Consider the following 15,807-nt stretch of genomic DNA (forward strand, 5'->3'; position numbering starts at 1 on the left):
AGTGAAATTATTGACAAGGTAGAGTGTGGTCTCATCTTTCTCTCCACAATTCAAATATATCAAATATGAGATATTGAAAGCACTAAGAGTAGTGATAGAGGTAGTAGTGAGAAAAAGACAGTGACCCAAGTTCTAAAATCAGTGAGGGAGGTGGCCAGGAGGTAGGTAGATGACTGCAACAAGGAATGTCTAATCTGTTTCTAATTATAGCCTACTGCTTGGGATTGATCTGTTGGAAAATCAGTAGTAATGAGGCTTGAATTTGTATATTATATACAAATATATAATATGGAAATGTATATATTATACTGTAATATACAAATGTATATATTCTCTCTACATATATATTATATATCTCCCTGTCAGTGGTATCATAGCCATGAGAGGAATGGCCTGAGCAAAGCACACAGCAATCTTGGCTCATTTACAGATTGCAATGGACAATTTACCAGCCAGTGAAGTGATCACCTTGTGGGCTAAGGTGGAGAAAAGATGTCTAACTAGGGGAAGGGAGTGGAATAAAAACCCTGTAGTTAATTTTGTACTTTGTACTTCTAGAAAGTATAAAGAAGCTTAAATAATCTTTTCAAAGGAAATCTTCAAAGGTGTACTCATTTGTTGTCTACTACTTGTTTGGGGGTTCCTCTTATAGGTTCCACTGTGAATCGCTATTCCTAAGTAGATGGGAACATCTGTAGAAAACTCTTTGTGCCTATGTCCAGATCATACTGTTCTGTGGGCAAAAACCTCGTGGCTTCTTTTCTAAAGCCCCCATTTTCAGACACCTATTGGAAATCTTAGGAGCAGTAATGTCAGTTTCTTCTCCCCAATACCACATGTTTACTTCTCCAGTTATCTCTGGTCAATGAAGACAAGCGCAGTCTTATTTCAGGGTCAAAGTACAGCCAATTTAGTACTGCTTGAAAAGTGGAATCCAAGGGCTGTCACCCTGGGCATCAATATAAAAATAAAATTGCTGCATTTAATTAGCTTCCACCACTGCAGGCTACTGCTGCTGCTTTCTCTCCCCCGCAAGATTCTACCACTTTTTCTTTCCCCAGGTGGATGTATCACGTTTAAACGTGAAAATTGCCCTGTTCTCTTCAGGAAACCAACCGTAGAACTAAACTCTACCTTTCTTGGACTTCATCTTTTCTAGAATTGCATACATCTTGTATCTTCTCTAGGGTCAGGCTGGAAAATCAAGACCACTTTATCCTTCCCCGATATCCAACTAATTCTAGGTCTCAATTAGGATAAGGTTTGGCTGCATATAATAAGAAAATCCAAAATAATAGTTACTTAAACAACTAAAAGTTTATTCCTTTTTCGTAAAGTCCAGAAGGAATTGAGGCCTCACATGATAGCTAAATGAATTTGTCAGAGATCTAGGCTCTTTCCAGCTCTCTACACTGCCATCTATAGGAGGTGGCCCTCATCTTTATGGTCCAACATAGTTGCTAGATCTTCAATCATCATCTTCACTCTAGGCAGTAGGAACAAAAACAGGTGTATTCCCCCTCTTTATTTTTGGAGATGGGGTCTTGCTCTGTTGCCCAGGCAGGAGTGCAGTGTAGTAATCATAGCTACTGCAGCCTCAAACTCCTGAGCTTAAGGGATCCTCCCACCTTAGCTTCCTGAGTAGCTAGGACTGCAGGCACTGTGTCTGGCTAAATTTAAAAAAAAAAAAAATTTTTAGAGACAAGATCTCACTATACTGCCCAGGCTGGTCTCACACTCCTGGGCTTAAGTGACATTCCTGCCTCAGTCTCCCTAGTAGCTGGGACTATAGGATTATGCCATCATGCCAGCTTATCCCCTCTTTTAAGAAGTCTTCCCAGACCTCCTGCATATCAGTGGCCAAAACCTAGTCACATGGTCACATCTAGCTGCAAAAGAGGCTAGAGAATATAGTCTTATAGCTGGGTAATAACATGCATGGTCAAATTTCAGCCTTCTTTTTTTTAAGGAGGAAGGGGAGGATGGTTAACTGGAAGCAACTATTTGTCCTGCCTTTTCCTCCTACTCAATACATAGACAACATAGCAAGAGATACTGTTGCCCTTTGAGAAGCCAAACAGAGTTTAGTATGGCTAAATTCACTAATTATTACTTTATGAATTAATCAGAAGGTATTCTTAAGAATTTAAAATCTTAAGTATTCTCACCACAAAAGTGATAAGAATGTGAGGTTATATATGTTAATTAGCTCAATTTAGCTATTTCACAATGTATATGTATTTCTTTTCTTTTTCTTTTTTTTTTTTTTTGAGATGGACTCTTGCTCTGTTGCCCAGGCTGGAGTGCAGTGGTGCGATCTCGGCTCATTGCAAGCTCCGCCTCCCGGGTTCACGCCATTCTTGTGCCTCAGCCTCCTGAGTAGCTGGGACTACAGGTGCCTGCCACCATGCCCCGCTCATTTTTTTTTTTTGTATTTTTAGTAGAGATGGGGTTTCGCCATGTTAGCCAGAATGGTCTTGATCTCGTGACCTCGTGATCCGCCCGCCTCAGCCTCCCAAAGTGCTGGGATTACAGGTGTGAGCCACCGTGCCCAGCCATGTATATGTATTTCAAAACATTGCATAAGATATATATGTACAATTTTTATTTGTCGATTTAAAAAAGAATGGAGACTTGAGGACATGGGGTGTTCTTAAACAGTAGTGTGACATTCAGTCTTATTTTAGAAGAATCCTATTTGGAGGCTGTGTGGGGAGAGCAGGTTGGAGTGGGGCAACTTTAAGAGGTTCATGGTAACCTTGGCAAGTACAGATTTGATGAAATGATGGGGGCGGGGTCAGGGAAAGGCAATTCCAAATCTTGGACTTTCAGATCATTGATTTTTTTCTAATGTCTTGTGATCTTTTTCTTTTACCCACTTCACCATTATGTGAACTACCTCAGAATTGCTTATTTTAAATATCCTGCTTTTTGACCATCATTTAAGAAAAAATATTTCCAACAAATCTACTTTAGCATCTCCACTTCAAAAAAGCCTTTACTCCCAAACACTGACCCTACCAGTTTTCATACACATCAACCATCTGCCCACATCCACCTCTGGTTCTTGCTTATACCCACTGTGACTTGCATGGACACTGTTAAATTTACATGTAGTATCTGGAGAATACATAGGAATCAGGACAAAGGGGTGGGGAGAGGGCAAGGACAAAAGAAGGAATGATATGAGAAATAGTGCTAAGATGAGTGACCACACTTGTCACTAGACAGCACTGAATATGGTACTTTTTTTTTTTTTTTTTTTTTGAGAAGGAGTCTCATTCTGTCACCCAAGCTGGAGTGCAATGGTGCGATCTTGGCTCACTGCCACCTCCGCCTCCCGGGTTCAAGCGATTCTCCTGACTCAGCCTCCTGAGTAGCTGGGATTACAGGCGCGCGCCACCATGCCCGGCTGATTTTTGTATTTTTAGTAGAGACGGGGTTTCACCGTGTTAGTCAGGATGGTCTCAAATCTCCTAACCTTGTGATCCACCTGCCTCTGCCTCCCAAAGTGCTGAGATTACAGGCGTGAGCCACTGTGCCTGGCCAGTGCTGAACTTTTCATAATAAACTATAGGTGTATGGTTAGGCTAGCATAAATGGTTTCTAGTGAGTTTTTACTCAGAATACCATCTATTCTTCAGAGTAGCTAGAAGGGCAAGGAAGATTAAGGTGCTTGACACCACACTTAGTACATTTTTTTATCCATAACACTTCAAACATTTTAACTGGAAATCATTTCAAACTTACAAATAGGGTTACAATGATAATACAAATAATCCTTGCTTCATTGCCTTATTTCTCTCACTCTCTCACATTCTCCCTCACACGTGTATGCACATGCCTGGGTAATTTTGTTTCTGGATCATTTAAGAATAAGTTGCATATATCAGTCGGGCATGGTGGCTCATGCCTATAATCCCAGCACTTTGGGAGGCTGAGGCAGGTGGATCACGAGGTCAGGAGATCGACACCATCCTGGCTAACACAGTGAAACCCCGTCTCTACTAAAAATACAAAAAAATAGCCGGGCGTGGTGGCGGGTGCCTGTAGTCCCAGCTACTCGGGAGGCTGAGGCAGGAGAATGGCATGAACCTGGGAGGCGCAGGTTGCAGTGAGCCAAGATTGCACCACTGCACTCCAGCCTGGGTGACAGAGCAAGACTCCGTCTCAATTTTTTTTTAAGTTGCATATATCATAGTCTCTATTCCTAAATACACCAGTGTATACTTTTGTAGAAGATACTTTTACATAAATGCAGTAACTAACTTCAGTATATTTAATATTGATATAATACTGTTTTCTAAGCTACTATCCTTATTCCAATTTTGTCAGTAACTTCAATGTCCTTTATAGCAGTGGCCCCCAAACTCTTTGGCACCAGGGTCTGGTTTTGTGGAAGACAATTTCCCATGGACCGGGGTTGAAAGGGGACGGATGGTTTTGGGATGATTCAAACGCATTATGTTTATTGTGTATCTTATTTCTATTATTACATTGTAATATATAATGAAATAATTATATAATTCACCATAATGTAGACTTAGAGGGAGCCCTGAGCTTGTTTTCCTGCAACTAGACGGTCCCATCTGGGGGTTATGGGAGACAGTGACAGATCATCAGGCATTAATTAGATTCTCCTAAGGAGTGCGTAACCTAGATCCCTTGCATGTGCAGTTCACAATAAGGTTTGCGCTCCTATGAGAATCTAATGCCACGGCTGATAAGACAGGAGGCAGAGCTCATGCACTAATGGGAATACGGGGAATGGCTGTAAATACAGATGAAGTTTTGCTTGGGTCACCTGCTGCTCACCTCCTGCTGTGTGGCCTGGTTCCTAATGCCCAGGAGGCTGGGGACCACCTGCTTTACATTTTCTTCTCCAACACAGAATCTAGTGTAGGATTAGGTACTGCATTTAGTTATCATGTCTACTTAGACTCCTTTAATTTGGAACACGGCCACGTCTTTTTTTTTTTTTGACATTGACACTTTTTAAAGAGTCCCTTTTATTGTTCACAGTATTAAAATACTAGATAACCTGTTAGTACCTGGCACAGGGTTAGTACTTATTTATTGCTTGATCTTGAAGACAGATATGCCTCCAAACAGGAAAGAAAAATGATTGGTAAATGTTCATCTGGGCTGTAAGCACTGTTAAGAGCTGTCTACTTTGCCTTAACTAGTAAAGCATATCCCATGTAATCATTTTTCAGAATTAAATACTATTTTAATACAAGGGTATCCAGCTCTATTTTACATTGTTGCCTACTCATTACAACATTTCACTGATTTAGTTATACAGTTCTCTGCTTTGGAATTTTAACTTTATATGGAATTTTTAAAAAAGTCTGTCAAAACTAGCCATGTCTCCTGATTTGCAAGTGAAGCAACCAAAGAATAGAAAGCACTTCTGGGTGAAATTTAACCTTTTGATCAGGAGATTATATAATAGACATTTCACATAATTTAAGTGAGAATTCCAGTCTTATGGCCAAAACATAACTATTATTATGGGGAAAATGGACATCAAGTACATGTTAGAAAATTACTTCTTATAATTTTGCACAGTAAATAAGACTACAAAACACACAGGCTGCACAAATCTCAATGAAGTGCAGAATTATATTGAATGCTAGGTTAAGGACCTTACCCATTTGACACTAATCTTATTTTGGTGCTCATAGCACAGAGTCCATCAACATTTGATTATCTTCTGTATGGATGTAGATTTTCTAATCTTCTTTTCTGTGTAAATCTTACCACTCCACCACAAACAGATGGCAGGAATGTTTTACACAGTACTTTCTTCAGAGTGCAGTGTACATGGTTGCCATTGAACCAACACTGATAGTTCTGCCAGAAGTAGGAACTGATAGAAGTGTTGCAACACAGGACAAACCTGAGCCTCTAGTCCCAAGTTCCCGACCTAGCTGGCAGTGTGGCCTTGAGTTTGCTAAGCTTCCATTTTCTCATCCATAAAATGGGAATAATGGTAGTTCCTGCCACATAAAGGCAGTATGAGGTTGGTATAAAAGCTTTGAAATGAAATAAAACAGGCTTGTGAGATGGGTCAGTTTGGCCAACATTTCCAATTCTACATTTCAGTGTTCAGCATATTAACATGGTTTTAGGTTGTTTTTGTGTTTCCAACTGCATATATCTCATCATTCATGAGCTGCTCAATTAAGAAAGTCTGAGCCACCCCTAAAGATGGCAACATGAAATAAAGCCATCTTTGAAGCACCCAAAATCACAAACAGGGCCTTGCCCAAGGTTAAGTCATGATTCTGCAGGTAAACTATGCACTGCCACAGTATACGGGGACCCCAAACTGGCTGGTGTAAAAGTCATCCTTCTATAATAGAAATGGAGTCCCAATGCTCTAAATCCTATACAAATCACTTGGGGAATCTCTTTAAAATGAAGATTCTGATTTAGTAGGTCTGGAGTGCGGGCTGAGATTCTGCATTTGTAGAATGTGTTTAGTGAAATATTTTGATGCTACCATTCTAAAGACCAATGATAAATACACTGAAACTTTATTAAAAGGTCAGGGTATATAGAAAACAAAAGGCATGTTTGCAAAATTATTTATTTACATCTTAAGCTCACATTAAAATCTTTCTAGGATAGAATGGCTAAGATGAAATATACAAAGCTGATATAAACACAGAACTCATTAATCTTTATCTGAACAGAAACATAGAGATGGCTTTAGATAATCTGTTTTTCCTTCACAAACCAATGTTCCCTTAAGTCATGCCATGATAATGTCTCCCCATTAAGAACTTAACTTGTATTGCCCAAAAAAGCTGAGAAGCAAAAAGCTAACTTTGATTTGTTAAACAGCTATTCATATGCCACAAAACCAAAACTATTTTACAGTGCTGAGAGGTCCAGATAGGTCCAAACATGATGATTTTTAAATGAGTGCTTTGGTTAATTAGGCTTTGACTTGGTTTTTGGCATTACTTGTATAATTATATCATTCCAATGAGTCACTACAGGTAATCCATTCAAAACATGACTTGCTTAATACTATCACAAAGCACTTAGCCTTGCCTTGACTGGAAATACCTTTAAGATGCTGACAATAGCAACAATTTCTCCTTTCCTTCACTCAGCAAAAGAAATCACATAAATCACAAAATAAAAAATTCATTTCTCACATGTTAAAAAAGCAAAGTCTGCCATAAACCCTTAGAGAAGAAACAGTTTCTCATAATATCTGCCCTGGGTAATAGTGCATTATTAAAATACTAGACCTGCAAGATCTCTTCCTATGCCTTGGAAGCCTATGACTTCATGATCTATTCATGAAAAATATGCCGAAGGCTAAATATGCAATGCATTGAAATTTCTGGGAAGAATTCACATTTAAAACAGTTTAAAAAATCTGGATTTAGTAAGAGTTTTAGAAAAATAAATAAAACACTGTGGTTCTACTTCTCCCCTTCTACTCTCCCTTCACAAATCTAAGCTTAAGTGCAGGCTTCTAAAAAGCAGAAGAGAGTACAATAGGATGAGAGAGGTGGGTTTTACTATCCACATTTTCCTTTTCTTAGTGTAACGTATTATCTCAAAGGCAAACTTGATTCCCTTTTCTTGAAACGAAGATCCCATCTTCTGAGACGATCTTAAATAATTGTTCTTAAATCAAAAAGTTTGAAAATCAGTGCTTTTAATAAGCAACTAAATGCCTATAAAATATATAACTTAATATTTTGAAGAATGCTATTGTAAAGTTTGAAACAAGATCTAAACATTTTTAAGTTTACATTTAATGTCTTTAAAAGGTCTTTTAAAAGCTATAAGTTCTATTATAAATTGCCAACTAAATTATAAATTGCCACTCACCTTCTCAAAAATTGTTGCACAAATGCATACATTTAAGGTATCTGTATGGTATTTCTCATATTGATCTTTTTCCCAATCTCATAAGTGGGATAAAATGAGAAATTAAGCACCTAGATGTTGGTTAAATTCATTTGAGCAGCATTTTGATTTTGAATAGAGATTCTAAATGTAGTCTAAACTTTCCAGAAAGTCATATTTACATTCATTGTACATTTTATATACACATAAATACAAATTTATAGGAAATAAACAAATTAACCTACACCTCTCATACTGTAAAAGACAAAAATTAAAAATACAACAACCGTGATCACATGCTAAGGCCAGCTATCTGGGAAATATTATTGTTCAGTTCCAACAGCAATAACTTTGAGTAACTTGACACATATCACATAAATACACTACAGGTACTTAGTTTATTTTTGTCCTTAGCCTAGGCCAATCCACAGTTTTAAGTGAAACAATTTTCTGTGAAAGCTAATGCCATACAAGTAGTCAAACACTTACTAGAAATGTCTGCACCACAGAAGAAAGATCTAAAGAAGGCATAATAGCAGATGTCAAATATTTTGAAGTATAATTATAGGGAAGGATTAAAATTAACTCTTTATCCAGGGGGAACTCAGGGCTTTCTGACAAGAGCTGTGCAAAAATTCAAAGGTTTGCTTCATCAGTGTGAACTCCCAGTCCCACAAAAAACAGTGCCTTGTCAAGGCTCTTGTAGTGAGGCCTCCTGGGTTGACCGGTGAGACTCATAAGCCCCCAAGAAACCCTGAAGTTCCCTGATGGAAATTATTTTGTTGAGATTGAGTTTCTGACATGATGACTTCTTGGGCAGTTTGCTTTCTCTTGTGTTCCTGCCCATAAAGCAGTGCTTGATTTTGCTGTTCACCTTTTGTAAATAGATGGGCTTGGCCCTCCAGGAATATATCAAAGCGAACTTTTCGGATTATTGTCTCATGAAAACAAGCAGGTTGTTGTGATGAACTTGGAAAGTGCCCTGCACCTAGTAAGTCTTCCACCAACTGCTGGCGGAAGTGGCTAGCAGAGATTATAATTGGAAGAAAAAAAAGGTTACCGAATCTAAAATGTTGACTGTTCTATAAAGTTTTGATCTTGAGCATGAGTGGAAAGTCCTATTTGGCACTCCTTGACCTCAGGTGGCATGCCAATGATTATCACAGTAAGAAATTCTTAGAATCAGATTTGAGGTATAGAAGGAATAAGAAACACAGAAAATTTTGACCTATATTAAATAAACTCTTCTATAAGTCAGGTTTTTAACCCTAAAATCAAGGCCTTTTTTCCCCCAGAATATTAAATTTACTAAAAACGTAGAAATAAAAATTCTAGTATGGCTGTAAATATATAAGACAAATAAATGAGGTCACATGGTTTATACATTTCAAATTCTTAGAGAGGCCCTACAGTAGTTCAGGAAGACAGTTTACAGTATTGTTCCCTGAGTTCTTGAGGCAACCTCAAGTAAATTTATGAACTCTAAGATTTGAGAGACAGAAAACCTACATGGTCTGCTTATCCCTCTTTTCTAAGAGTAGCTATTTACTCCAAAGTGGTTTGTTCAGTGCTTTCCCTATAGTTCAACTGCTTTAATTATGTGGCTTTATCCGTTTCTTAGAAGACCAGCTCCCCAAATGAAACTTTTAAGAGAAAGAAGAAAAGGCTGTTTAAAGCAAGTAAGCTTTTAACATTAGTTAAGAGTGCAATTGAGTAAATCAGTTCTAAATCTATAATACAAGAAGAGTGGTAATACTGTCACAGGTGTTAGAAGGTTAGAATTCTACAGATTTGGGTTTGTCTGATGTCAGCGGTTAATAACCACTTAATAAGCCCTGCCTCCTAACCAATTATACTCTACTAATTGTCTACCAATTCAAAGAACCAAAACTATTATAATGACTTTCCAGTATTTAAATATGTAAGAACACCTAAATTTGGTTTTAAAATAAAGTTTATAACAACCATTCTCATCAGATCTCAAACTTCAAATATCTAGATTTTACACATAGATTTGTAATAATTAAAAAAAAAACCAAAACCACAAAAACTCATTCAAAACTGGTATTTTTTAGGTTCTTGAATTTTCATATGTCCACATTCTTGGTGGCTATTAAAATTTTAAAATAAATTCAAATCTTGGGAATAATTTAAGTAGTGAAATATGTGAGTATTTATTTTCAAACTCCCATAAGGGTCTATTTAGAAAAACTAATTATGATAAATGGAAACTCCAGTTGTGTTGCTGGCAGTTTTAGGTTAGGCTTAATTTTAAGTTGAGAACCTACTGAAATGTTCATCTATTTCAGTAAAGTGCACAAATATGAGTGTACCCTTTGGTTTGGCTATGACCTCAAAGGAGGTGTAGAAGTCAATGGCGCTGGTGTCAGATTCCTAACTATATTACTGAGGCTGGCAATCTTCTCCTCCAGGAGGTAATTTTTCTTCTCTGCTGTTTTCTGTCGCTGTTCAGTCACTTCCAGAGCTTTCAACAACTGGGCATTTTCAACATACAAGTCCTTCACCATTGCGTCTGCCTTAGTGTTCTTGCAGAGCTAGAAACAGAACCAGAAACATCTTGACTCCATTTCTGTAACTCTTCTTAAACCTTCAGTTTAAGGTCTGACATAAGGACAGTTGTTTTATAAAGGCAAATCACTTCGTCTAATTATATTCTTTTATTTTACAAAATAGCTTTAACATCAGACTTGGCATCAGGGACACCATTGGAACAAATCTACTTTTTCTAAGCTATTTCTTTGCATGAGATGTTTATGTCAGTTACTAATAGAACAGATTGATATTAGATGGCACCAAAAGTTTTTTTTCTACCTAAATAGGCATTATTTCTGTATTTATTCTTTAAAAATATCAAATACTTTTATAACTTAAATTCCTGAGGTGTCAGGTGTGGACTGTTTAACTCTGCTTGTAACAACAGATACTTGAACTTACCATTCGTAACTACAACCCACTGATTATTTTAAAATTTAGCTCATGTATTATAACAGAGATAAGATTTGGGCAGTTACTTCTCCTGAATTGTCTTTGTTTTTGTTTTGTTTTGCATGGGGCCTTGTCTAGTCTAATCTTTATAGTTAGAATATATGGTCTAGGTTGGGGTGGGAAAACTTGTTAGCAGCCTTGGGATACTTTCATTGTTGTTCTGGTTAATATTTTCCAGTCCCCCTTCCCATGTTACAAGTGTTCATTTTACACCCAATTTCAAGTAGGGCATCTAAAAGTATAAAGGTTTATGAGAATAAAGAGTAACTAAAGAGTAGCTTAACAACCTATTAGCATTTCAAAGGGCAGGGATAAGGATGACAGCACTCTCAAGCTCAGAACCTAGATGACTGGCAGACATCACATAACATTTCAGAACATATTTTCTGTTGAACTTCCTGAATACAACTTTTTTTCCTCCCTCCCTCTCTTCCTTTCCTTAAAAAAACACTTTGATGGTTCTTCATTGCCGACAGAATAAAAATCAAGCTTCTTTCTTGGCTCAGCACTGGAGGCCTACTGTCCTGTTCCCCCTTCCTCTCTAGTCTCTCCTCCTGCTTCTCCCAGGACAGTGTGAACTGGCAATGCTGAAGTGTTTATACGTGTCCACACCCCACATGTGGTCATAACTCCATGATGTTCCCACAGCCTAGGATACCCTTCCCCACACTTTCTTAACTAGTTGAAATCTTAACTCTCAAGATGCAGCTTCAGAGGTCTTCAGGAAGCTTTCTTTAAACTCCTGGGTTGGATCAAATATGTCTTTCTCTTGTGTTCTCCTCTACTGAAAACAGGACGGATCCCACTTATTTCTGAACCTACCATTTGGCCAAACGCTTGGCACCTTGTAAGTGCATTCTATATGGGCAGGGGCTTTGTTCACTGTTGTATCCCTGTGCCCACGGCAGGACCTGGCCCACAGTAACTATGTGTTGAATGCTTGAATATGTAAAGAACTGAATGGATAAATGCTCACTGAATGGGACTTTTTCTTCCCTGTGTATTAAGAAACAGGACAACCAAAAGTTGCTGTCTACAGCTGAATTCAGACCCTCTCTTGGGGTTGTTATTCTTAGCTTTTAAGTATCTAAAGAACTAGGTTGGGCATTTTCTGCCCCCCACCCCACATGTTCATCTCAGTTTCCAGAGAGGCTATAACACTCTCCCAGAGGGTAGTACTTTCTGCTTGTCTCTTCAGTGGATGCGCAACTAATTTCTAAACACCAAGGCCACATCTGCCACCAGCAGGTGAAAAGGAGCAGGCTGTTTAAGTGGTCCTGGAATCTGGGGTCTAGATTCTAACTCAAAGTACATCTTTTTGGAGTCTAGCTGTAGCAATAAGATACTTGTTGAGGTTTTCATAAGCTGTTGGGAACAGGAAAGCTAAAGTTCCATTTATTATCCCCCTATTTTTTTAACCAATATCATTTTTCAATTTAAATAGGAATATTTCCTGTCTTGGGCAGAGAAAAATCTGTTGATTCACAGGGACCTAAAGCATGTGAATGGACATGCTTTAGGTCTATGTGAATCAATAGATTTTTTTTGATCTTTAAAATCTTAGGTCCATGTAAATCATGTTAGCAAAGATTTACACTTTTAAATTGTGGACAAACATGCCTTAAACAGAGCTTTGGAAAAAATACAGAGTTCGTATTTTTTGGGGTGATATGAGGGATAGCAAATCCTAAGTTCTTACAGACATTTATAATAGAATTTGCCTTTATTAGACAACATAAGTTAACGAGTTAATGGCAATAAAGGGATGTAAAACTGGAGTTAAAGCTGGAATGTGAGGTGGGTGAACAGAGATGACCGGGTAGGCTCACTTGTTCTTTGAGCTGATTCACTTTCTCTTGAAGAAGCCTTTTCACTAGTTTCAGTTTCTGTTCAACTTCTATCATTCGTTCCTCCATGACAGTTACCAGTTGTTCCTGGTTTCCCTGAAGGGAAGAAAAGTATATTATTCGAAAATCATGTCACACTGAAAACACTGGTTTATTTTCCCCACAAGATGCCTAGAGAAAGGACAGCAAATGTTTTGCCTTTGTAACAGGAAGGATGGATTTCTCATGAAATGAGAGTTTTGAGCCCTGCATGGATTGCATATGTCAGAAAAGTAACCCTATCAGATAAAGGATCAGACTGAAAAATCAAAAGAATCTTACCTGTGTTACCATCATCCCCCTGATATAAAGCAAAATTCTGAAAACCCATAATTTAATACCTGTGAGTACCTCTAGTAAAATGGACATCCAAGGTAACTTGGAAGATCGCTATCAACCTCCCATCTGTGATCTGGGTCTCTGCAATGTTATGGGCCTCTCAACAACAAAACAAGCACTGAATATATTCAGGGTTTCCTAACATAACCAATCAGCTTGCAATATGCATGTCTGTTTTTCCTTTGAAGTGGCTGATGACTGTGAGGGTGGTAAGTTTCTTTCTTCATAATAGCCTCTTCCTGCCAATTTTTCTAGTCATCTGTTTCCCACTTGTAAATGTGAAGCACACATCTGGATTGGAGGATGGGTTTACTATCAGAGCAGATTGAAAATGAAAAATCTCCTGTTCTCACACAACGGTGATGGGTTAAGGAGTAAGTGAGTTTTGGAGAGGAGAGAGACCTAGAGAGATTAGAATGCAATTGACTTATTAGAATGCAACCCCCATCCCTCTGCAGTCCACCAAAATGTCCCCATAAGGAATTTCAGATTTCATAAAGGTATTAACAGCTGATGGTAGTTAAGATATACTTTAAAAGACATGCAGAATGACTAAACATGAGTCAAAGGCTACCATCTGTTTAGATACTAAGTAGTAACACTTAATCATAAAAGAAACCCTAAATCATGTAGTAACTATCCGGAGGATAAAAATTGTAATAGGCAAAGGTCTAATGCAGGAAGTAAGTTACAAAAAATTGGGCCTGGAGGACATCTAGCTTTTAAAAAGGCCTATATTTAAAAAAAAATAATAGCTTTTTAAAGTTCAAACATAAATACAAAATGATGTCTATTTGCCCAACAAAGCAAAACAAAAAAAAAGATAATTCAAAGAACATAGAGTTGGCAAAAGAGTGGAAAAACAGGAAAAACAAAGGCAGTCATATACTTAAAATTTATTTTATTGTTTCATCAAAAATTTCCTGTCAAAAAGATTTGTACATCTTATACAAAACAGTATAAATACCCCTGGTTTTCTTCAAATTCCATATATAAAAGTAGTACCTTTGGTTAAAAATAGTTACAACATATGGAATGAGAAAATATATAGACTACATCCTTTCAAGAATCTTAAATCCACACTCTTTAAAGGGTATAAATAAAATGATTTGTAACAAGCTGATGTTTGTGAATTTGATTCACAAGATCTGTCATTTCTACATAAATAAATAAGAGACATAATACTGCAAAGGTTTAACAGTAAAAATAATAAAATAATTTAAAAGAGCACTTAATTCCAACATATCTTAGCTTATGTCTCTGTGTGTGGTGTGTGTGCATGGGTGGGTGTGTGCATCTGTCTGCCATGGTAAGAAATGCCATCAATAGCAGCCCAGTTTTCACAGGTGCCCAATCCTTCTGTAGGAATCTGCGTGCACTGCTCGCTGCTCCGGTAGCAAGGCCTAGAGAAAGAAGGCAAGTAGTACACTTCACCCTCATGTCAGGATGAGTTTTTAGGGGGAGTCTAAATTCACACATCTACAATGCAAACAATTTTTAAAAGCACACACATTAACACTACATAGGCAAGCAAAGCAACACAAAATGCAGAAGAGATCACATCACTCCACACACAGAAACGTGCAGATTTAACAATATTCTGCATTCTTAAAATTAGTGTCAGCTCAGCAGCGGGAAATGGGAGAGCCTGCAGTAGCATTCTGGTGAGAGTAATAAGCCGTCCACTCTGTCATCTGGTTGGAGGATTTTTTTTTTCTTTCAAAAATCTTAGTTTTTGTCTAATCCTGAAGGAATTGGAGGAAAAGGATATTTTTTTTAACATTGGTGGGTGGGTTGGAAACAGCAGGCTTTGAAAATAGGGTGTAAGAGAGCAATGAGAAGAATCTTGGCGGATCATTTGGTTAGAAGGTCCACTAAAAACTGAGATCAAAGTTTTGTAGTTCAATTATATACTGGAGAGTTAAAGCATCTAACACTCTACCATCACAATTTAAGAACTTTAATACTGGGAAGTTGAAGAGGTATGTATAAAGCTTCCAAAAACAGATTTTAAAGCTCATAAAACAAAAACCTTCTAAAGTTTATTAGAAATACAGCATAGGTACATATGTAGAGGGAAAAGTTTATTAGAACTGACAAGTGGTAGGAGTACTTCGTAATTAAACATAGATGGATAGTAGAAGAAACAGAACTGTTCCTATGTAGAGTTCCAGAGCTAATGTGACTGCAAAGCCACTTTGAGGGGATTCAAATAAGAGATAGGAAATTCCTTGTCAAGCATTAACTGAGTGGCAAGGTATCTGAACACACAAGCGCATGCAAACCAGAAAGGATTAATGTAGAATTCCACAAAGAAGGACTTTTTATTTTATTCCTAGTTCTGAATTAACTAAATAGGCAAGCTGCAAGAGTTAAACTTCTGAGAAAGGATGATGAATGAAGCATTAAAGAGAAATAACTCTGAATACTTGAAAACCTAAGTAATATAAGATTGGATGTGGTGGTGAGCTGGGATCATGCTAATGCAAACAATGAAAAGATTTTTATTTTCTTAAATAGTTTTATGAACTATGTCAACTAGAAAGATGTCACTGACTATACACTCTATTTGTTGTGAAAAGTCATCACTTGTGATTTTCATGGGATGCAGCAGGCTGCACGGCTCTGGCACAGGAAAGCTCAGTGTACTTTGTTAGTAGCGCATATCCTAGCAACATTTAAATTCTGTAATATTTTT

General features: G+C 37.6%; 1 protein-coding gene across 27 annotated transcripts in view; it reads right to left on the reverse strand.

The window, feature by feature from the left end:
• NIN (ninein) overlaps positions 6,524-15,807 on the reverse strand; it is a 111,741-nt gene continuing 102,457 nt past the window's right edge. For 17 of the 27 annotated variants that reach the window (XM_047431452.1, XM_047431439.1, XM_047431453.1 and 14 more), the window contains 2 exons: positions 12,714-12,827; positions 6,524-10,433 (listed from right to left, as the gene is read on the reverse strand). In XM_047431452.1, coding sequence (XP_047287408.1) covers positions 10,224-10,433; positions 12,714-12,827 — 324 coding nt within the window. In that variant the 3' untranslated portion in view covers positions 6,524-10,223. Of the gene's footprint in view, positions 10,434-12,588; positions 12,828-13,993; positions 14,513-15,807 lie in introns of those variants that run through there. The other 10 variants (XM_047431449.1, XM_047431451.1, XM_047431446.1 and 7 more) reach the window with 2 other exon arrangements.

The sequence above is a fragment of the Homo sapiens genome, chromosome 14 (genome assembly GCF_000001405.40).
Source record: "Homo sapiens chromosome 14, GRCh38.p14 Primary Assembly".
In the NCBI taxonomy this organism is placed as follows: Eukaryota; Metazoa; Chordata; class Mammalia; order Primates; family Hominidae; genus Homo; species Homo sapiens.